A 21082-nucleotide genomic window follows, 5' to 3' on the forward strand; every position below is an offset into this window, starting at 1 on the left:
ATCTTGAAAAGTATATTGTATAAAATTTAATCCTTTCTTCATAATGAATTGTACTTATCAAGCCCTCAACATCTCTAGAATACACAGGTAGCCTCAACATTTGGCCATTTTTATCAAGATATTCTGTAATTTAATTTTAGTATGTTCATTAATTACACATTTATTTAATATTAGAATTCTATTATGGATTTATCTGAATGATGCTTGACCCCACCATACATATAATCCTATACCTAAAATCAATTCCAAGTGGATCACTGATATAAATATACAAGAAAAATAGATCCCTAGTGCTTCCAGAAAATACTAAGAGAATACATTCCTGAATTGTGGTATAGAAAATTTTGTTTAAAAGGATATATAAAACACGAGTCATAAAGGAAATGAATTAATATACTGAACTGCATTTAAATTAGAAAGTTTTCCTCAAAAAATTATTAAGGAGAATAAATATGGAAGCAAAGGATTGGGAAAATATATTTGTAATGTATGTAACTCAAGGATAACTTCATCAAGTCAGCAAAATCTCTCTGAATCTCAACCACATTTATACCCGAAGTCAAATTTTACACATTTTCAAAGTTTTGGAAGAGCTCTTAATTTAATGTAAGTACTTCAGATGTCCTGAAAGTAGATCAAAAGTAAGGGTACAGATTAAACTGTATAATGAGCAGTTAACTCAATAACTTTTAATGACCATAAAAAACGGATATGTCTGAGACTAAAACACAATCTCATCCAGGGTCATAAAAGTCTATTTTATTGGTGTAAATCTCATGGGAGCTGTGAAGTACATATCTTCTTTTCCAGCCTAAACCTTGTGGCTTTTCTGATTGCCCTTTACAATGGCTGACGTTAATATCTCTTGTCTATTTTATAAGAAATAAAAAAAAGAAAGATTGTAAACTCACATTTGCTAACACATAAATGTTTACTAATCCTTTTTATTTAAAAAAATCATTCAATTAAAAAAATCTTATCCCAAATTCTTTGTGTTCTTTACAAAACTAATCTTATGTTTTATAATACATTTCCGGTCAAAAATTCCAGTTTAATCCCACAATGTTTGTGTAATCAAAAATTAATCAATCTCACTAACAATATGGGGAGTGACAAACTCACATAACAATCTAGATTTTTTAAAGCCTGAACACTTCTGTACATAAACAATCTACACAATTAAGGGGGAAATAACAGGATTTGTTTTACTCTAGGTAATGTCTTTGATTTCTTACTTTAATTTGCATGTATTGGCACTGCTTACAAAATTAAGCTAGAAAAAAATATGAACCTCTGACATTCAAAAATCACAGTGAGAATTTTTATCAACTTTTTTCTTATGTTAGTCAAATGCAAACATCCCATTAACTATAGGCTTAGGAGAATTCTCTAACAGTTTTAAAATACATATCCTAGACTGGGAGAGAAAGCTGTTTTTTAGCTATTTCTCCCATAAAATCTTTTTAACTGCTGTTTATTATAGCTACTATTTATGATAATGCTGTTGTATGCATTATTACAACCCTGTATTTTCAGTAAAATGTCTAATAAATGTATTTTTAAAATACATTATTCTCTATCTGCTTCAGATAAAATGTTGCTGTCATTTTACTGAATAGCACAGCACATAAACATGGTAATAATAAATGTTTTAAAGTTTTTAAAGCACTGAATGGTTGGAAATTAATCTGCATCATCATAACTACTTTTATAACAACATTTTTAATGAGCCAGATTCACCTACTCTATTTTGATGGCAAAAGTGGATTATTTCTTGAAGAGAAGAAATAGCAAAGAGCAATATAAACTTGCCCTGTGCTTTAAAAGTCTGAAAATAGAGAATGAAACTTTTCAATTTAGTATGGAATATAACTCTTCATCTACCTTGGTTTTTTCCGAGATCACAGATACATCATTTAACCTAGAACTAGATGTGCTAAATGGAAAAAGAGAATCATTCTAAAATTAATGTTACAAGGTGGTATTTGTTCCAGTGAATTTAAAGCAATTCCCTTAATCAGCATATGTCCTGATTTTACTGCTGCACAGATGAGATGGAAGCACCTAGAATTCCTAAGAAGTAATATTGCCTATTATTACACAGAAATTTTGGGGTAAGAAATATGGTCCTAACTAAAATCTTCTAGAATACTTCAAATGTAGTCACATTTTATGAGTAAAGTGCTACACAGTTATTTTTGGTACTTTTCCTATTCATAAGTATATCTTTACTTTCCTGACACATAATAGGATTTCTACATTTTTTTTAAACGGAAGAACTTCATGAACCTTTGATGATATGACAAAGGCGATGGATATATCCCCAAACTTATCATTTTATAACATTTTCAAAGAGTTTATATAGACCGGTAATTTACTAGGCTTCCTAGGGATTTATGGGTCCTATTAAGAAATTCCTTTCTACAGATTTATTAGTACTATATGTAATGATTACTAATTTGTCCCTAAATATTCCAGTTTTATTTTTCTGTGTACTTTGTAGGGGATTGATTGCATGTCCATACTCCTTTGAAATTAGGTTTGGTCACACAACTTGCTTTGGAATATGAAGTGTGAAATATTTTTAATAATGAAAATTAAGTTTGTTTCCTTTTCCTCTACCAAATCACCTACTTCTCCTCACCAGATACATTCTCTCTTACAAGTTTCTCATATATCCTTCCAAAAACAGGCTACACATTTTAGAGGTATGCATTTTAACAACCAAATTCTACTACCACCCCTTCTTTTTTCTTTATGTCTCAAGAAGTATAGAAATTTACACTAAAGTGAAACCTATATCTTCTTGGATCTTTGAGTTGTTACTATATGAGACAGAACTTTCTGCCTTGTATATGTAGCATGAACCAAAATAAACATTTGCAACTTATGTATACAGAACTCAGCCATCAAACATCTGAATTATGAGAAAGCTCTTTAAGACTATTTCTCAGGTTACTTTTTACCTAGGTTTCCAACAATCTTTGTTATCTGGTTTTCAAACTAAAAATAAAATATTACAAACCATAAATTTGGATTGTTATACCCACGGATGATTGTAAGAAGGAACATCTAATGAATTGGAAATAAGTGGAAAAAACCCACACAATCAAAAGAAATAAAAAAGAATGCTGGATTTAATGCCATTTGTGCAGGGGCAAGTAGTTTCAAACATATCAATAGATATTTGGGAAATGGGTAGCAGTAAAACAGGTAAGGTTTTACTAATATTTCTTTGTTGAAATTAAAGCTACCATAAATTAAAATTATCATCTTTCTAAGCAGTCTAAAATAAAAACTAACTCTGAAGGAATAATATACTAATAATCAACTATAGTATATTTTGATACAAATAGTTAAATCTTTAGTGTAGCACTTTATTCTGGGAAAGTAAATTTGGTGTGTATAAGTGGTTATCAAAAAACGATGAAAATATTTGCAGTATACTTTAGAAAATGGCCAGGGAAGTATATAACCAAGTAGAGAAAAACTTCCATCCTAAGTAAGAAAATAATATGTTAATATTTATTAGAAAGGAACATCTCATGACTCTAGATTGGGTGTAGAATCAAAGCATTAGAGAAGGGTTATTCAAAGTCCCATCATACTGATTTATTTCCCAAGCCCCAATTCCTTACCTATGCTTCTTAACATTACCAGCAATATTCAACTCAACATTAATTATTGCTCCATACTCTATGTAATTCACATTTGTGTAGTGTTCCCTAATGCTTTTTCCAAACCCTTTTTTTTTCCCATTACATGGAGCTCATATATCCAAGTCATACCATATTTAAACCTTCTTGGTCTATTATTATATACTGATTACTTGGTCATTCTCTTTTTTAAAGGAGATTTTGGAATATGACTGAAACACTTTTTTCAGGCCAAGTTGTGTCATCATCATAGGTGATTCTATAACAAAGATGAGAAATCCACTTCCCTGGTCTCTAAATTCTTTCATTTCATAAATATAAAAATAAGCAACTCTGCTGTTTTCACATACTGATCCTGCTATCCATGTCATGAACCCATAATCACTGAGAACTATTCCAGCTGTTAGGTATTAAAGTGAAACACTCTCTTCCTGGACCACAACTTCCTCATTTTCCAGTTCTCAGGTACACTGACTTGGTCATTGACCTCATTACATTCACGAACGCTTTGAATCCTCTATTTTGTACTACGTACCTTTATCTTTTATCTTTACATAATTGCCTCTGTAACTTTAGAGTTCATGACCACTTCAATAACTCTTCTGACAGCACCTTCAAAATTACCGCTTCTATTTTTTACCTGGTATGATGTCAACTCTTGATTATTTCTGCTGAACAACAACTCTGTTCCACGGGGAGTCTAAGAGAAAAAGAAATACGTATTCTCTTCAACTTGTGATGGGGTTAGGTCCCAATAATTCATCATAAGTAAAAAAAAATCATAAGTTGAAAATGCAATTGATACCCCAAAACCCATCGTAAATTTAAAAAACATAAATTGAATCATTGTAAATCCAGATGCGCCTCAACTTATGATGGAATTACCTCCTAAGAAACACATCCTAAAGGCAAAAAAAGAGTCATAAACCAAACCACTGTAAGTCAGAGACTGTACAGCTATGCAAAAAAATTGAATATTGGTAGTCTCTTAAAACAGTGTGAAAGGCTGGGTGTGGTAGCTCATGTGTGTAATTCCAGCACTTTAAGAGGCTGAGGCAGGCAGATCACTTGAGGCCAGGAGTTCAAGACCAGCCTGGGCAACATGGTGAAACCCTGCCTTCACTAAAAATACAAGAATTAGTGGGTTGTGGTGGTGCACACCTGTAGTCCCAGTTACTTGGGAGGCTGAGACAGGAGAATCACTTGATCCCAGGAGGCAGGGGTTGCACTAGGTAGGCGGAGGTTGCAGTGAGCCAACATCATGCCACTGCAGTCCAGCCTGGGCGACAGAGAGAGACCCAAAAACGAAAACATAAACAAAACTAAAAACAGTGTAAAGATACTACCTCCTTCTTTAAACTCTGTTTTTCTCTTTTTTCGGCTCTCTGAATAGCTAACCCTCACTTGGCTTTTGCTGCAGTTAAACATTGAATTGTATTCCCCCAAAATAGTATGTGGAAGTCCTAACTCCCAGGAACTCACAGTGTGATCTTATTTAAAAATAGAGTTTTTAAAAATGTAATTAGTTAAGATGAGGTCATATTGGATGTAGGGTGAGCCTTTATTCCAATATGACCTGTGATTTTATAAGAGAAGGGAGATGCACGGAGAGAAGATGGCTATGCCACAACAGATAGAGATTGGAGTGAAGTACCTACAAGCCAAGGAGTACCAAGAGTTTCCAACAAGCACCAGAGGGAGAAGAGGCAGAGAAGGATCCACCCCTTCTCTGCCTGACAGATTTCAGAGGGATCATGGCTCTGGTGACACCTTAATTTCAGACTTCTAGCCTCCAGAATTGTGAGACAATATATTTGTGTTATTTTGAACCACCCAGTTGGGCACTTTATTACTGAAGACCTTGGGAACAAGTACAGCTGCTCATCACAAGATTTTCTGCATAGACTATTCCAGCATCTGCTACTAGAGACAATTTTATTTATTTATTTCCAATTTTTATGCCTTTCATTTCCGTGTATGTCTTGTAGTACTGGCTAGAACTTCCAGTATTATGTTGAATAGCAAGGGAAAAGTAGCTGTATTTGCCTTGTTTCAATCTCATAAGAAAAACATTCAATTTATTTCTATTAAATATGACATTAGATATAGATGGGGATTTGGGGTAGATTGTTTTTATCAACTTGAGGAAATTACTATTACCTTTTTTCTGATAGTTCTTATCATTAATGGGTGTTGAATATTTTCATTTTCTTCTGCATCAATTATCATATGATTTATTTTTCTTTAGCCTGATAATAAGAGAGATTACATTGTTTGATTTTCAAATATGGAAGCAGCCTTTTATCCTTGGAATAAATCCCAGTTGGTCATGGTACTTAGATATTGTTGAATTCTATCTGATAATATTTTATTAAGAATTTTTTCATCAATATTCATGAGAAATATTGGTATATAATTTTCTTCTCTAGAGATTTCATTATCTGGTTTTGGTATCAGGGTTATTCTGCTTCATATAATGAGATAGAAATTACTCTGTCTTCTATTTTCTGTAAAATATTTTTTTAAATTGGTGTTAATTTTTCTTTAAACATTTGGTAGAATTCTCCAGTGAAACTGCCTGGGCCTGGAGATTTCTCTTACCTGAGGTTTACCATTACAAATTCAGTTCACTTAATAGTTATATGGCTATTCAAATACTCTATTTCACATGTAGTTTTGCCAGTTTTCACTGCTCAAGGAATTAGTCCAATTCTTCCAAATGGTCAAATTAATCTATACAGAATTGTTCACATTTACTCATTCTGATTTTTGCATTGACTGTAGTGACATCTCTTGTTTTCTTATTGATATTAGTAATTTATGTCTTCTCTTTGTTTCCTTGTCCAAATTACTAGAGATTTATTTCACTAATCTTTTGAAATAATCTGATTTTTGTTTTAATGACTTTTTCTTTTTTTGTATTTTAATCTTGCTGATTTGTGCTTCTTTCTTTACAATTTCCTTTCTTCTTCTTCTTCCCTTAGATTCATTTTGTTCTCTTTATAATTTCTTGATGTTGAAACTTAGATTATTGATCTAAAAACCTTTTCTCCTTTTATAAGCATCCGGTTTATAAACTCACTATCAGCATAACTTTAGCTGGGCTCTACAAATTTTTATATGCTATGTTTTCAGTTTTATTTAGATATATATGAATTGTTTGTGTTTATGTTCCCTTTGACTATATATCTATACCTATAATGTATCTAACTATCTATGTATCTATAAAATTTCTTTAGACTTTGACTGTGACCCTTGGATTATTTAGAGATGCACTGGTTACTTTCCAAATGTTTGAAAGCATTCCTTGTGTTTTTCTGTTACTGATTCTAGTCTAATTCCATTATAGTTAAATAACACTTTTTATATCTTATATTCAAATTCTTTATAAGTTATTTTATGGGCCAGGATATAGTCTCTCATGGCATATATTTCATGAGCACTTGAGAAAAATCGTGTATTCTTATGTTGTTGGAAGGTGCATTTTGTAAATCTCAATTAGATGCTATCAGTTCATGGTTTTGAGTTATTCTAGCATCTTGCTGATTCGTCAATCACTAAAATTGTAAATTTGTCTATTTCTTCGCTCAGTTTTATCAATGCTGCTTCACATATTTTGCAGTTAATTGTTTGGTGCATGTAGTTTTAGGATTGCCGTGTCTTCTTGGTGGATTTAGCCCTTTAACATTATGTACTGACAACTGTCTATCCCATAATTTTCTTTGCTCTGGTATCTTCTTTGTCTGTTAATACTAATGTGCTCATGCCTAATTTCCTTTGATTGATATTTTCATACTATATCTTTTTTTGTTGTTCTTTAACTTTTAGCCTTCCTATATGTTATGGGTTGAATTTTGTCCACTCCAAAATATGTTGATGTCTTAAACTCCAGTACACAAATTGTGATCCTATTTATAAATAAAGACATCATCAATGTAATTAGTGAAGATGAGATCATACTGAAGAATGATGGATCCCTAATCCAATATGACTTGTGTCCCTGTAAGAAGAGAGAAATTTGGACAGAGACACTTGAAAGGAGAATGTCATGAAACTAAAGAAGAAGAAATTGAAGTGCTATTGCTGCAAGTCAAAAAACATCAACAATTGGCAAATACCACAAGAAATTAGTAGAGGAAAATATGTATTCTTTCCTACAGGTTTCAGAGAGAGCATGGACCTACCTACACCTTGAATGTTGACTTCGTCATTGCAGAACTGTGAGTGAACAACTCTGTTGTTTTCAGCAACCCAGTTTGTGGTACTTTGCTCTGGCATCCCTATGGAGCTAATGCACTGACATCATATAGCTGGGTCATTTTGTTTTATCCACTGTACTAATCTCTATCTTTTAAATAATGTATTTAGACCATTTATATTTAGTGTATTTATTGATAAATTTATACATGAGTTTACCTTTTTTTGTTTATTTTCTGTTATTTTTTTCTGTTTTCTTTTTTCTGCTTCCTATGGTTTTGTGGAATATTTTAAGATTTCTATTTTTGTTTGTCTATAGTGTTTTTGAACTTATCTCTCTGTATAACATTTTTAGTAGCTGCTCTAGTTAATATATATAGTTATATAATATATATTTATATATTTAATATAACTTTCCAGCACAGCATCTACCAGTGCAAATAAAGTATAGAAAACTTAACACATTTTATGTCATTTTGTACTTCTTTATTTAAAATACAATTCCTTAAATACTTACCCTATACTCATTGATAATCATATGACACAGCATTAAAATTTTTGTTTCAACTATCAAACATAATTTTAAAAACAACAGAAGAGAAGATAAATCTGTTATATTTACCTATATTTTTGTTTCTTCTGTTGTTATTTCTTCTTTGTCAGTGTTACATGGTTCTTTTTTTTTTTTTTAGTTTTACTCTGTCACCCAGGCTAGAGTGCAATGGCATGATCTCAGCTCACTGCAGCCTCTGCCTCCAAGGTTCAAGCAATTCTCCTGCCTCAGCCTCCTGAGTAGCTGGGATTACAGATGTCTGCCACCAAACCTATTTTTTTTTTGTAGTTTTGGTAGAGATGGGGTGCTCTAAAACTGCTGACCTCAGGTTATCCACCCACCTCAGCCTTCCAAACTTCTGGGATTACAGGCATGAGCCATGGTGCCCGACCACAGGGTTCATTCTATTTTATTTCTGTTCTGATTTAAAATGTTCTTTGGCTAGATTTTAGGGTAGATATGTAATGAAAAAGTTTATTTATTGATTTTTCATTTATATGTGAAGGATAACTTTTACTGGATAAATAATTGTGAGTAGCTAGTTTTTTGTTTTGTTTTGTTTTTTTTGTTTTGGCACTGGAAAAATGTTGTGGCCCTTCCTTCTTGTCTCTGGAATTTTTCATTAAAAAAAAACCTCCTGCCATTCCAAATGTTTTCCCTTATAAGTAATATATTGTTTTTCTCTGTCTGCTTTCCAAATATTCTTAATTTTAGTTTTCAGAAGTTTGACTGTGATGTAGCTTGGCATCAGTTTTTCTTTATCCTCTTTGTAGTTACTCAATTTTTGAAACTGAAGGTTAATATGTTTCCCCAAATATGGGAATTTGATAGACATTATTTTTAAAAATAATTTTTCAGCCCCACCCTCTTTTAGCTTTATTTCTAGCTTTCCAAAGACACACATGTTTGAAGTTTTCTTTATAGCTTTACATATGCCAAAGGTTCTGTTCATTTCTTGTCTATTATTTCTGTTTTTGAATTTGATCAATTACTATTATTATATCTCTGAGTTCAGTGATCTTTTCTCTGCATATCTGGAAGACGTAGCTAGAGCAATCAGACAAGATAAAGAAATAACAGGCATCTAAATTGGGAAGGAAGAAATCAAATTACTCTTGTTTGCAGATGATATGATTTTATCTTAGTAAATGCTAAAGACCCGAACAACAACAAAAAAACTAGTAGAATGGATAAACTAATTTGGTAAAGTTTCAGGACACAAAATCAGCATACAAAACTCAGTAACACTTCCATATGCTAATAGTGAACAATCTGAAAAAGAATTTAAAAAAGTAATTCCATTTACGATATCCACACATAAAATTAAAGACCTAGAATTAACTTAACCAAAGAAGTGAAAAATATCTACAATAAAAACTATGAAATTGAAGAGAATACAAAAATGGAATATATTCCATGTTCATGGACTGGAAGAATGAATATTGTTAAAATGTCCACACTACCCAAAGAAATCTACATATTCAATGCAACCTCTCTCAGGTTACCAATCACATTCTCCATTGAAATGGGAAAAACAATGCTAACATTTATATGGAACCAAAAAAGACCCCAAATAGCCAAAGCTATCCTGAGCAAAGAAGGTCAAAACTAGAGAAATCACATTACTTGACTTCAAATTATACTACAGAGCTGCAGTTAACAAAAAAAGAATATTACTGGCATAAAAACAGACACATACACCACTGGAAAAGAATAGAGAACCGAGAAAGAAATCCACACACCTACAGTGAATTAATTTAAACAAAGTTACCAAAAATATACGCTGGGTAAAGATAGTCTCTTCAATAAATAGTGCTGAGAAAACTGGATATCCACAGGCAGAATAATGAAACTAGACCACTCTCTCTTGCCATACACAAAACTCAAGCTAAAGACATAAATTTAAGACCTCGTACTATGAAACAAAAAGAAATCATTGAGGAAGCTTTCCAGGATATTAGACTGGGCAAAAATTTCTTAAGTATTACCCCACAAGCACAGGCAACCAAAGCAAAATAAACAAATTTGATCACATCAAGTTAAAAAGCTTCTGCACAACAAAGAATAAAATCCACAAAGTGAAGAGACAACCCACAGAATGGGAGAAAATATTTACAAACTACCCCCTGACGAGGGATTAATAACAAGAATATACAACAGGCTTAAAAAACTCTACAGGAAAAAAACCCTAATAATCAAAGAAAAAATTGGGCAAAATCTTTGAATAGACATTTCTTGAAAGAAGACATAAAACATGGAAAAAAGGCATACGAAAAGGTACTCCAAATCATTGATCATCAGAGAAATGCAAATCAAAACTACAATGAGATATTATCTCACCTCAGTTAAAATGACTTTTATCCAAAAGACAGGCAATGACAAATGCTAGGCAGGATGTGGAAAAAAGGGAACCCTTGTACAACTTTTGGTAGGTATGTCCATTAGTACAACCACTATGGAGAATAGTTTGGAGTTTCTTTAAAAACAGTAAAAATAGAGCTAACATACAACCCAGCAATTCCACTGCTGGGTATATACTCAAAAGAAAGGAAATCAACGTATCAAAGAAATATCTGCACTCCCATATTTTCTGCAGTACTGTTCACAATAATTAAGATTTGGAAACAAACTAAGTGTCCATTCACAGATAAATGGATAAATAAAATGTGGTATATATACACAATGGAATACTATTCAGCCATAAAAGTGAATGAGATTCTGTTATTTGAAACACCGTCGGGGGAATTGGAGGTCATTATGTTAAGTGAAATAAGCCAGGCACAGAAGGACAAACATCACATGTTTGCACTTATTCGTTGTATCTAAAAATTAAAATAATTGACATCATGGAGATAGAGAGTAGACAGATGATTACCAGAGGCTGGGAAGGGTATGGGGTTGGGGGCAGCAGGGGGAATGCAGTTGGAATGGTTAATGGATACAAAAAATATTTAGAAAGAATGAATAAGATCTATTATTTGATAGCACAACAAGGTGACTATAATTAATAATAATTTACTTGTACATGTAAAAATAACTAAAAGAGTAATTGGATTGATTTTAATACAAAAGATAAGTGCTTGAGGGAATGAATGTGTCATTTTTTCATGATCTGGTTATTATGCATTCCATACCTGTATCATAATAGGTTGTGTATCCCATAAACACATACACCTCCTATTTACCCACAAAAATTAAAAATTAGAATAATACTTTTTAGCCTTAGCATCTATAATCAGATTTTTGACTCACTTTGAGTTAATTTTTGCATATTCTATAAGGTAAAGTTCTAACTACATTTTCTTTTTTTTTTATTTTCAAGTCCTTTGCCCATTTTTATTTTATTTTTTATTATTATACTTTAAGTTCTGGGGTACATGTGCACAACGTGCAGGTTTGTTACATATGTATACACGTGCCATGGTGGTGTGCTGCACCCATTAACTTGTCATTTAGCATTAGGTGTATCTCCTAATGTTATCCCTCCCTACTCCCCCCACCCCACAACAGGCCCCAGTGTGTGACGTCCCTCTTCCTGTGTCCAAGTGTTCTCATTGTTCAATTTCCACCTATGAGTGAGAACATGCGATGTTTGGTTTTTTGTCCTTGTGACAGTTTGCTGAGAATGATGGTTTCCAGCTTCATCCATGTCCCTACAAACGACATGAACTCATCCTTTTTTATGGCTGCATAGTATTCCATGGTGTATATGTGCCACATTTTCTTAATCGTCTATCATTGTTGGACATTTGGCTTGGTTCCAAGTCTTTGCTATTGTGAATAGTGCCACAATAAACATACATGTGCATGTGTCTTTATAGCAGCATGATTTATAATCCTTTGGGTATATACCCAGTAATGGGATGGCTGGGTCAAATGGTATTTCTAGTTCTAGATCCCTGAGGAATCACCACACTGTCTTCCACAATGGTTGAACCAGTTTACAGTCCCACCAACAGTGTAAAAGTGTTCCTATTTCTCCACATCCTCTCCAGCACCTGTTGTTTCCTGACTTTTTAATGATTGCCATTCTAACTGGTGTGAGATGGTATCTCATTGTGGTTTTGATTTGCATTTCTCTGACGGCCAGTGATAATGAGCATTTTTTCATGTGTCTTTTGGCTGCATAAATGTCTTCTTTTGAGAAATGTCTGTTCATATCCTTCGCCCACTTGTTGATGGGGTTGTTTGTTTTTCTCTTGTAAATTTGTTTGAGTTCTTTGTAGATTCTGGATATTAGCCCTTTATCATTTACCTCCCACTTATAAGTGAGAACATGCAGTATTTGGTTTTCTTTCCCTTTGTCAGTTTGCTAAGGATAATGGCCTCCAGCTCCATCCATGTCCTTATAAAGAACATGATCTCTTTCTTTTGTATGGCTACCTAGTATTCCTTCCATGGTGGTATATGTGCCACATTTTCTTTATCCAGTCAATCATTGAGGAGCATTTAGGTTGTTTCCATGCCTTTGTTATTATGACTATTGCTGTAATGAACATACATGTGCATGTGTCTTTATAATACAGTAATTTTTATTTCTTTGGGTATATGCACAATAATGGGATTGCTGGGTCAAATGGTATTTCTGTCTTTAAGTCTTTGTGGAATTGCCACACTGACTTCCACAATGGCTGAACTAATTTACACACCCAACAACACTGTGTAAACATTTATATTTTTCCAGAACTTTGCCAGAATCCATTATTTTTTAACTTTTTAGTAATAGCCATTCTGACTGGTGAGAGATGGCATCTCTCTGTAGCTTTGATTTGCATTTCTCTAATGACCAATGATTTTGAGCTTTTTTTCATATGATTGTTGGTTGCACATATATCTTCTTTTGAAAAATGTCTGTTCATGTCCTTTGCTCACTTTTTGTTTGGGGTTGTTTGCTTTTTTTGTAGATTTGTTTAAGTTAGTTATGGATGCTGGATATTAGACTTTTGTCAGATGCACAGTTTGCAAAAATGTTCTCCCATTCTGTAGGTGGTTTCTTTACTATTTTGATACTTTATTTTGCTGTGCAGAATCTCTTTAGTTTAATTAGATACTATTTGTTAATTTTTGCTTTTGTTGTAATTGCTTGTGGCATTTTCTTCATGAAATCTTTGCCTGTTTCTAGGTCCTGAATAGTATTGCATAGGTTGTCTTCCACGGTTTTTATAGTTTTGTGTTTTACAGTAAGTCTTTAATCCAACTTGTGTTGGATGTAAGGAAGGAATCCTGGTTTAATCTTTTGAATATTGCTAGCCAGTTACTCTAGCACCATTCTTTGAATAGAGAATTCTTTTCCCATTGTTTGTTTAAGTCAGGTTTGCCGAAGATCAAATAGCTGTAGGTGTGTGGTCTTATTTCTGGGTTCTCCACTCTGTTCCATTGATCTATGTATCAGTTTTTGCAACAGTACCATGGTGTTTTGGTTACTGTAGCTCTGTAGTATAGTATTTTACTCTTTTAGATAGTATTGTAAATGAATTATTAAAATTTCCTTTTCTGATTGTTCATTATTAGTATATAGAAACAAATGGCTTTTGCATGGTGATTTTTATTCTGAAACTTTTCTGAATTTATTTTAGCTCTAACCATTGTGTGTGTGTTTGTTTGTGTGGTGTGTGTGAGAAAGAGAGAGAGGAGAGAGGGAGAGAGAGAGAGACAGAGAGAGAGAGGGAGACAGAGAGAGGAGAGAGAAAGATTTTAGGGTTTTCTACATATAAAATCATGTCTGTGAAAGGAGATAATTGTACTTCTTGCTTTCCAACTTTGATGTCTATTTTTTGGGCATAATTGCTATGGCTAAAACTTTTTGTAATGTGCTTAATAGAGGCGGTGAAACTGGGCAACTTGTTTTATTTCTGGTCTTAGAGGAAAAGCTTTCAGTTTCTCCACTGAGTGTGATATTAACTGTAGGTTTTATTTTTTGTCTTCTTTTGGCATTTACATGATAAATATTCCACCCTTTTATTTATATTTACACTGCCTTATTTCAACAGGTGTGTCTTGTAAATAGCATAACTATTTTATTTTTATTCTTATTTGACATTCTTTGCTACTGTGAGTAGTCTTTCATTTTTACATATTTAATATTATTAGTGATATATTTGAGTTTGAATTTTTCTAGATTGTTCATACTGGTTTATCCCTATCTTTTTTAAAAAAATAATTAAATATTATGTGATACACCATGTTTTTCTCTATTTTTTTTTAATTATAAAAGCATCCAATTTTTTACATCCAATAAGAGAGGGTTCATTCAATATTTGTTAAATAGATAATGTAGGGCTAGCCAATTTAATAAAATTAGGGCCAAGATTGGATTATGATACAGTTTCTGTTTCGGTAATATTTATCTATATTTTATTTATGCTCTTTTTGAAACTTCAAATTATATCCTGATGATTTCACAATTAGCCGTAGAACTATGGACCCTGAAACCAAATATTTACCTCCTAAATTTTCTGCAACATTCCTGGATTATGCATGTAATCATAGCAGAATTAATTATTTTACCAATTTTACTATTAAAGGTGTTTATTATTCTACTTATAGCCACCCTAGTTATAGTTATCCTATTTATGCAGCCAATAAACCTAAACTGGGTTCTCTCAGTGGGAAAAGCCAGCATTTCAATGAACATTATATTTATGCATGATATATGGGTATTTGCATTTAGTTGTGTTGAAGGTAAAATTCATAAGAAATATTTGGAATATGAAGTCAAATTAAATAAAATAATGTTATAAATTTGAAGATGAATAAAATTGAACTTGGGCATTTTATTTAGTTTTGGAAAATTCTGAATTTTCCCCAATATATATACATCCATAGCTACATATACCTGTCTCTAAAAATATAGATTACATGGCATTTCTGAAGGGCATATTGTTCCTCAGAAAGTAGTCTATATTTTAAGAGGCCCTAAATAAGTCAATTCTAATAACACATTTTTTTAAATACTACTTTTATTCCATTTTACAACTGAAAAAGATAATCCTGGATATATGTAAGTAATAAAGCTAAGCTTTAAACTCAGTGAGTCTAGGGCCAGAATCTATGCTCTTATCCAATCACTGTGCTCTTATAGCACAGTAGTAACTGTGCTATACAGCTTTGTAACATATGTGCATATGTTTAATATATGAATTGAAGCTTTATGTATAGTTCTTGCAACTGAAAAGTATCTTCTTCACACTAGTAAAAACTTGCGGCCATGGTAACAAAGATATTTAATGGCCAGGGGCTTATAATAACGTGTTTCTTTATTTTTTAAAATAGGAGATATTTGCAAATATACTAATACAGGATAATTACCCAAACATAAGTCATTTTATCTTGTGAGCTAATACTGCTCTCTATATTTCCCCAATCGACCACCAGAAGGAATCAAAGAGAAATTACAAGATAAGTCTAAGACAGAATGATCTATTGTGTTCAATCTTCCTGACTGTGAAGTGTGTGATAAATATAAGTGAGTTATCAGGCATCTCCACATGAGTAAAGATAAATGTCATTTTAGTTCCAAATAGGCAGCAATGAACACTCCACCTATGAAAAAAACACTTGATTCCAAGTATCTCAAGAGATTACAGTCATATATATGTATAGATCTAACTAGATAAGCACTCCTTAGAGTGTGTTTCATAGGGAAGACTAAAGAAGCTAGCAATCTATATTGCCCCAACCAAGGTATTATGTTAAGAGACTTCTTTGCTCTACTTAAGTGCTTTTATACCTTAAGAAAAAAATATAACTAGAGAATGAGATATGTCTTAACTATGCAAAATCTTATGTTACATTAAAAAAAACTAAGTTGAGAGTAAGCTTCAGACTCTTGTTACCACATATAAACATCAAATATACAACAATAGTCTAAATAAAAAACTTTACAGGAACTCTCAAAACTATTCAAAGATTTACAGCAACCGTAAAAACACTCATTTAAGAAAAAGTCACATGGAAAATGGTAGGAAAATTTGTGGCATGCTTATACACCCTTGCCTCACTCCTTTCCTAGTGTGGCACAGAAGGGAGAAAGTTGCACAATTTCAGGTTACTTCCCTTGAGCCAAAAAAAAAAAAAAAAAAAGTACAGTGAAAGTTATCTGCAGTGATTTGGCCCATCTGTAAGCTGCCTGAGGGACCAGTATTTGTCTTATCTGACTTAGAGATCAGAGCAGAATGGCAGCAATTAGATTCTTAGGTTGGAAGCTGTGGAGACAGTGGTGAGTATCATGGTACATGCAAACTACAGGGGGATATCAGACCCATGCATGCCTGAGGCAAGAGGTTATGGGTAGCAGAATAAAGCAAAATATCTAAGGCCCAGAGAGGAAGCTAGAGTGGGACTTTTCAGGAATTAAAGCACTTAAAGGCAACTTTGGGAAAAATAAAGAAGCACACACGTGGGCTCAGAAAGGAAGCATATCTAAAAATTATACCAGACGAAATTTTTTTTTTTATTATACTTTAAGTTTTAGGGTGTATGTGCACAACGTGCAGGCAGTCCTTCGCTCCAGGCTGCTATCAAGGCTCAGAGAACTGCTAATTAGCAAAGGTCTTCACACCATACTGTCAAGGCTGGGGAACCTGGCTGTTTCTTAACATGCCTAATTCTCAAAAAATGAGCATAAGCCATACAAAGAAATGGAAATCATGGCCCATTTAAAGGAAGAAAATAATCACATAACCAGTCTGAAAAAACACATGCAGTGGACATACGAGAAAAACTCTTTAAAATAATTGTCTTTAATATACTCAAAGAGATAAGGGAAACATGAGAAAAATAGTGAAGGAAGTCAGGAAATGATTCATGGACAAAAATGAGAATATTAACAAAAACAAGTTAATCATATACAAAAAACTAAATAGAAATTTGGAACCCAAAATATATGATAGTTGAATTGAAAAATTCACTGGAGGTGTGCAACATAAAATTTGAACAGATAAAAGAATCAGTAAACTTGAAAAAATCATGTAAATTTATTGAGTCTGAGGAACAGAAAATAACAATGAAAAACTGTGAACAGAACCTAAAGGACTTATGGAAACCAGGAAGTTTCACTGTGAGAAGTGCATTATGGGATCATCAAGAGAAGAATAGAGAGAAGATAAATTATTTTTAAAGCTAATAGCTGAAAACTTCCAAAATTTGAGGAAAAAAGTATGACATACAAATCTCAGAAGTTAATTAATTCCAAGTGGGATAAACCAAAAAGACCCATACAGAAATCCATTATAATCAAACTTTTGAAAGACAAAGACAAAGAACGAATCTTCAAAGCAGAAAGAAAATGTAACTCATTAGATGCAAGAGATTTTCAGTAAACATACCAGTGAATTTCTCAGAAACCACATAGACCAGAAGGGAGGTGACATTTTAACTGATGAAAAAAAAAATAGCTATTAGTGGAGAATCATACATCTGGCAAAACTATCTTTCAAAATTAAGGAAAAATTAAGACACTCTTAGAGAAACAAAAATTTAGGGAGTTAATTATTAGTAGAACTGCTCTCCAAGAATGAGAAAGGAAGTTATTAAATTTAAAATGAGTGGACGCCAGGGAATAACTTGAAGCTGTATGCAATATTAAGTTTTTCAGTAAAGCTAAGTATGCAGACAAAAAAATAAGTATACTCACACTCACACACACACATACACACACATACACACAATTGTATTGTTTTGTTACTGTAGCTTTTTGTGTTTATTTATTTGTTTTTTTTTTTTGAGATGGAGTCTTTGTCACCCAGGCTGGAGTGCAGTGGCACGATCTCACCTCACTGCAACCTCCATCTCCAGGGTTCAAGCAATCCTCCCACCTCAGCCTCCCAAGTAGCTGGGATTACAGCCTCCTGCAACCACGCCTGGATAATTTTTGTATCTTTAGTAGAGACGGGGTTTCACCATATTCGCCAGCCTGGTCTGGAACTCTTTATCTCAAGTGATCTGTTTGCTTCAGCCTTCCAAAGTGCTGGGATTACAGGTGTGAGCCATTGCGCCTTGCTAGTTTTTATTTTATAGTTATGTAAACACAAATGCATAAAAATAAGATTAAATCTATGTTAATTGGATACAGTATATAAAGATGTAAATTGTGAAGTCTATGACAAAATGGAGGAGCAGAGGTGAAAAGGAGTCGAGGTTTTGTATGTGACTAAAGTTAGGTTGATATTAATTTAAAATTATTATAACTTTAGGACATTATAGGTACTGTCCATAATAACCATAAAGAAAATATAGACAGAATATACAGAAAAGGAAATGAGAAGTGAATCAAAACACAAAACATACTCCTGCAAAAATATAAACACAAAGGGAGACAGTAATGAGGGTAAAGAGAGAATAAAAATTTATGACATACAAAAAAAGGAACAAAAAAACTGACAAAACTAAGTGCTTCCCTTTCAGTAATTACTTTAAATGTAAATGTATTAGACTTATAATTCAAAAGATATGAATTGAAAGAATGAATTAAAATAAAACCGTGATCCAACCATATGCTGTCTACTTTAGATATAAGGACAGACATAGGTTAAAAATGAAAGGATGGAAAACTGTTCTGTATAAACAGTAATTAAAAGACAGCAGGGCTTCTCTATTAATATCAGACAAAATAGACCAAGTCAAAAACTACTATGAGAGGCTGAAAAGGGAAAATACAATGAGAAAGCTCAATTCATGAAGAATTCATAACAATTATAAAGATATAGATACCCAACATCAGAACTCCAAAATGCATAAAGCAAACATTGACAGAATCGAAGAGAGAAAAACAAAACAAAACGCTTATACAATAATAGTAGAAGACATCAGTACCCACAACACTATAGACTATTTTGACCTAACAGACATATACAAACCACTCCATATAACAATAGCAGTACACACATTTTTCTCTCGTGCACAAGAAACATACCCCAGGGTAGAACATATGTTAGGCCACAAAGCAAGTAGTAGAAAAAAGGAAAAGAAAGAATTTAAGTTAGGTAAACTGATTAGAAGTCTCTAACTTCTGGTGGGGCAATAGAAGGAGGTCATATAATTTCTCTTTGCAGAAAACAAGAAAATCTGGGAGGCAATTTTCTAGAAAATCATTAAGAGCACTGAAAATTGATAAATGAAGTTTAAAAATGTGAGAATTTACTTAAAAAAAATTCTTACAGTGTTGTATAAGAAATGTGTTGAGTTTTTGGCCATCATACCCATTCCCCTATTTCCTCCTATTCCTACTGTCTCAGGCTCAGTAGATTCTTGCCTCAAGGATGTGGTGGTGAGGGTGTGGGATCTGTAGTTGCTAAAGGTGAATGATTCAATTCAGAATGGGAGATGGAAAACAGATAGAGAAAAACAGCAGTTTATTAGTCTTTTTAGAGTTATTAGCAGACTGGCCATAAATCTAAAGGGAAGAAAATAGAAGTGAGAAATACATACGGATGAGAATGTCTTCAGAAATCCCCAAAGCCCTGGTTAACTGATAGCTGTATATGTTCAGGAGACCCAAGAGAGCAAAACAAAATTTGAAACTCAAGAGACACTTAAGAACTGGTTACAAGTTTGAATGCCTTCAACAACATATAGCTCAGCCATCAGAGCTTGGACTATTTGAGCACAACCTCTGTCAAAACCTTGGCAGACCAATAAACTATGCAACCACAAGACTGGACTTTAGCCGTGCTAAAAACCGTAAACGGAAATTATAAAATCTGATGAGAGATAGCCACCTGGTGGAAACAATGCAGGGAAACAAATAACACTGTGATAAATCCAGCTAAGTTAGGAAAGCACATAAACAAAAGAACTTCTCAAAAATAAAATATACCACATCCTAGAGCTGTCACATTATACTATGTAAAAATCTGATTTCAAACCAAAAATAAGTGACATATAAAGAGGAAGAAAATTGTGACCCACACTCACGATAAAAAAGCATTCGATAACAACTTGTCAGCTTAGTGGGCCTAGATTTTGGATTTAGTAAGAAAAGACTTCCAAGCAACTATTATAAATATAATCAGATAATTGAAGTAAACATATGTAAAAAATATAAAGATACCATGCCAATAATGAGTCAACAAATAAAGACTCTCTACAGAAAATAGAAATTAAGAAATAGGGCCAAAAGAAAGGTTGAGCATTGAAATGAAAATTACCTGAAATTAAAAATTTACTATGTATACCCAACAGCAATTTTCTGATGGCAAGTGAAAGGACCAATAAACTCAATATAGATCAATGGAAATAATCATATTGGTAGACCAGAAAGAAAAATTATTTTTAAAAATGAGGAAATTCTTTGAGACCTCTGAGAGACTATGAAGCATTACAACATATATATGAAAGCATTAGCAGAAAATGATTAGAAAGATAAGAGAAAATGTATGTGAAGGAAAAGGAAGAAAAGGAAAACAAACACACCACAAAGGAATTCACATAGAAAAGAACTGAGGTTAATGGACTCAAACAGCAATGACCTCACTCACCACTATTTTGCCAGCAATATAAAAGAGCCCAGGGAAGGAGCCAAGAAGGCCGAATAGGAACAGCTCTGGTCTACAGCTCCCAGCGTGAGCAACGCAGAAGACGGGTGATTTCTGCATTTCCATCTGAGGTACCAGGTTCATCTCACTAGGGAGTGCCAGACAGTGGGCGCAGGTCAGTGGGTGCGTGCATCGTGCGCGAG

General features: G+C 33.2%; 1 long non-coding RNA gene across 2 annotated transcripts in view; it reads right to left on the bottom strand.

The window, feature by feature from the left end:
- MIR3171HG (MIR3171 host gene) overlaps nucleotides 1-21075 on the bottom strand; it is a 351396-nt gene extending 330321 nt beyond the window's left edge. Inside the window, exons 1-2 of one of the 2 annotated variants that reach the window (NR_148991.1) lie at nucleotides 20883-21075; nucleotides 4297-4356 (exon numbers count right to left, since the gene is read on the bottom strand). This is a non-coding gene — a long non-coding RNA (MIR3171 host gene). Of the gene's footprint in view, nucleotides 1-4191; nucleotides 4357-20882 lie in introns of both variants that reach the window. The other variant, NR_148992.1, reaches the window with a different exon arrangement.

This window comes from Homo sapiens, chromosome 14 (genome assembly GCF_000001405.40).
Source record: "Homo sapiens chromosome 14, GRCh38.p14 Primary Assembly".
NCBI lineage: Eukaryota > Metazoa > Chordata > Mammalia > Primates > Hominidae > Homo > Homo sapiens.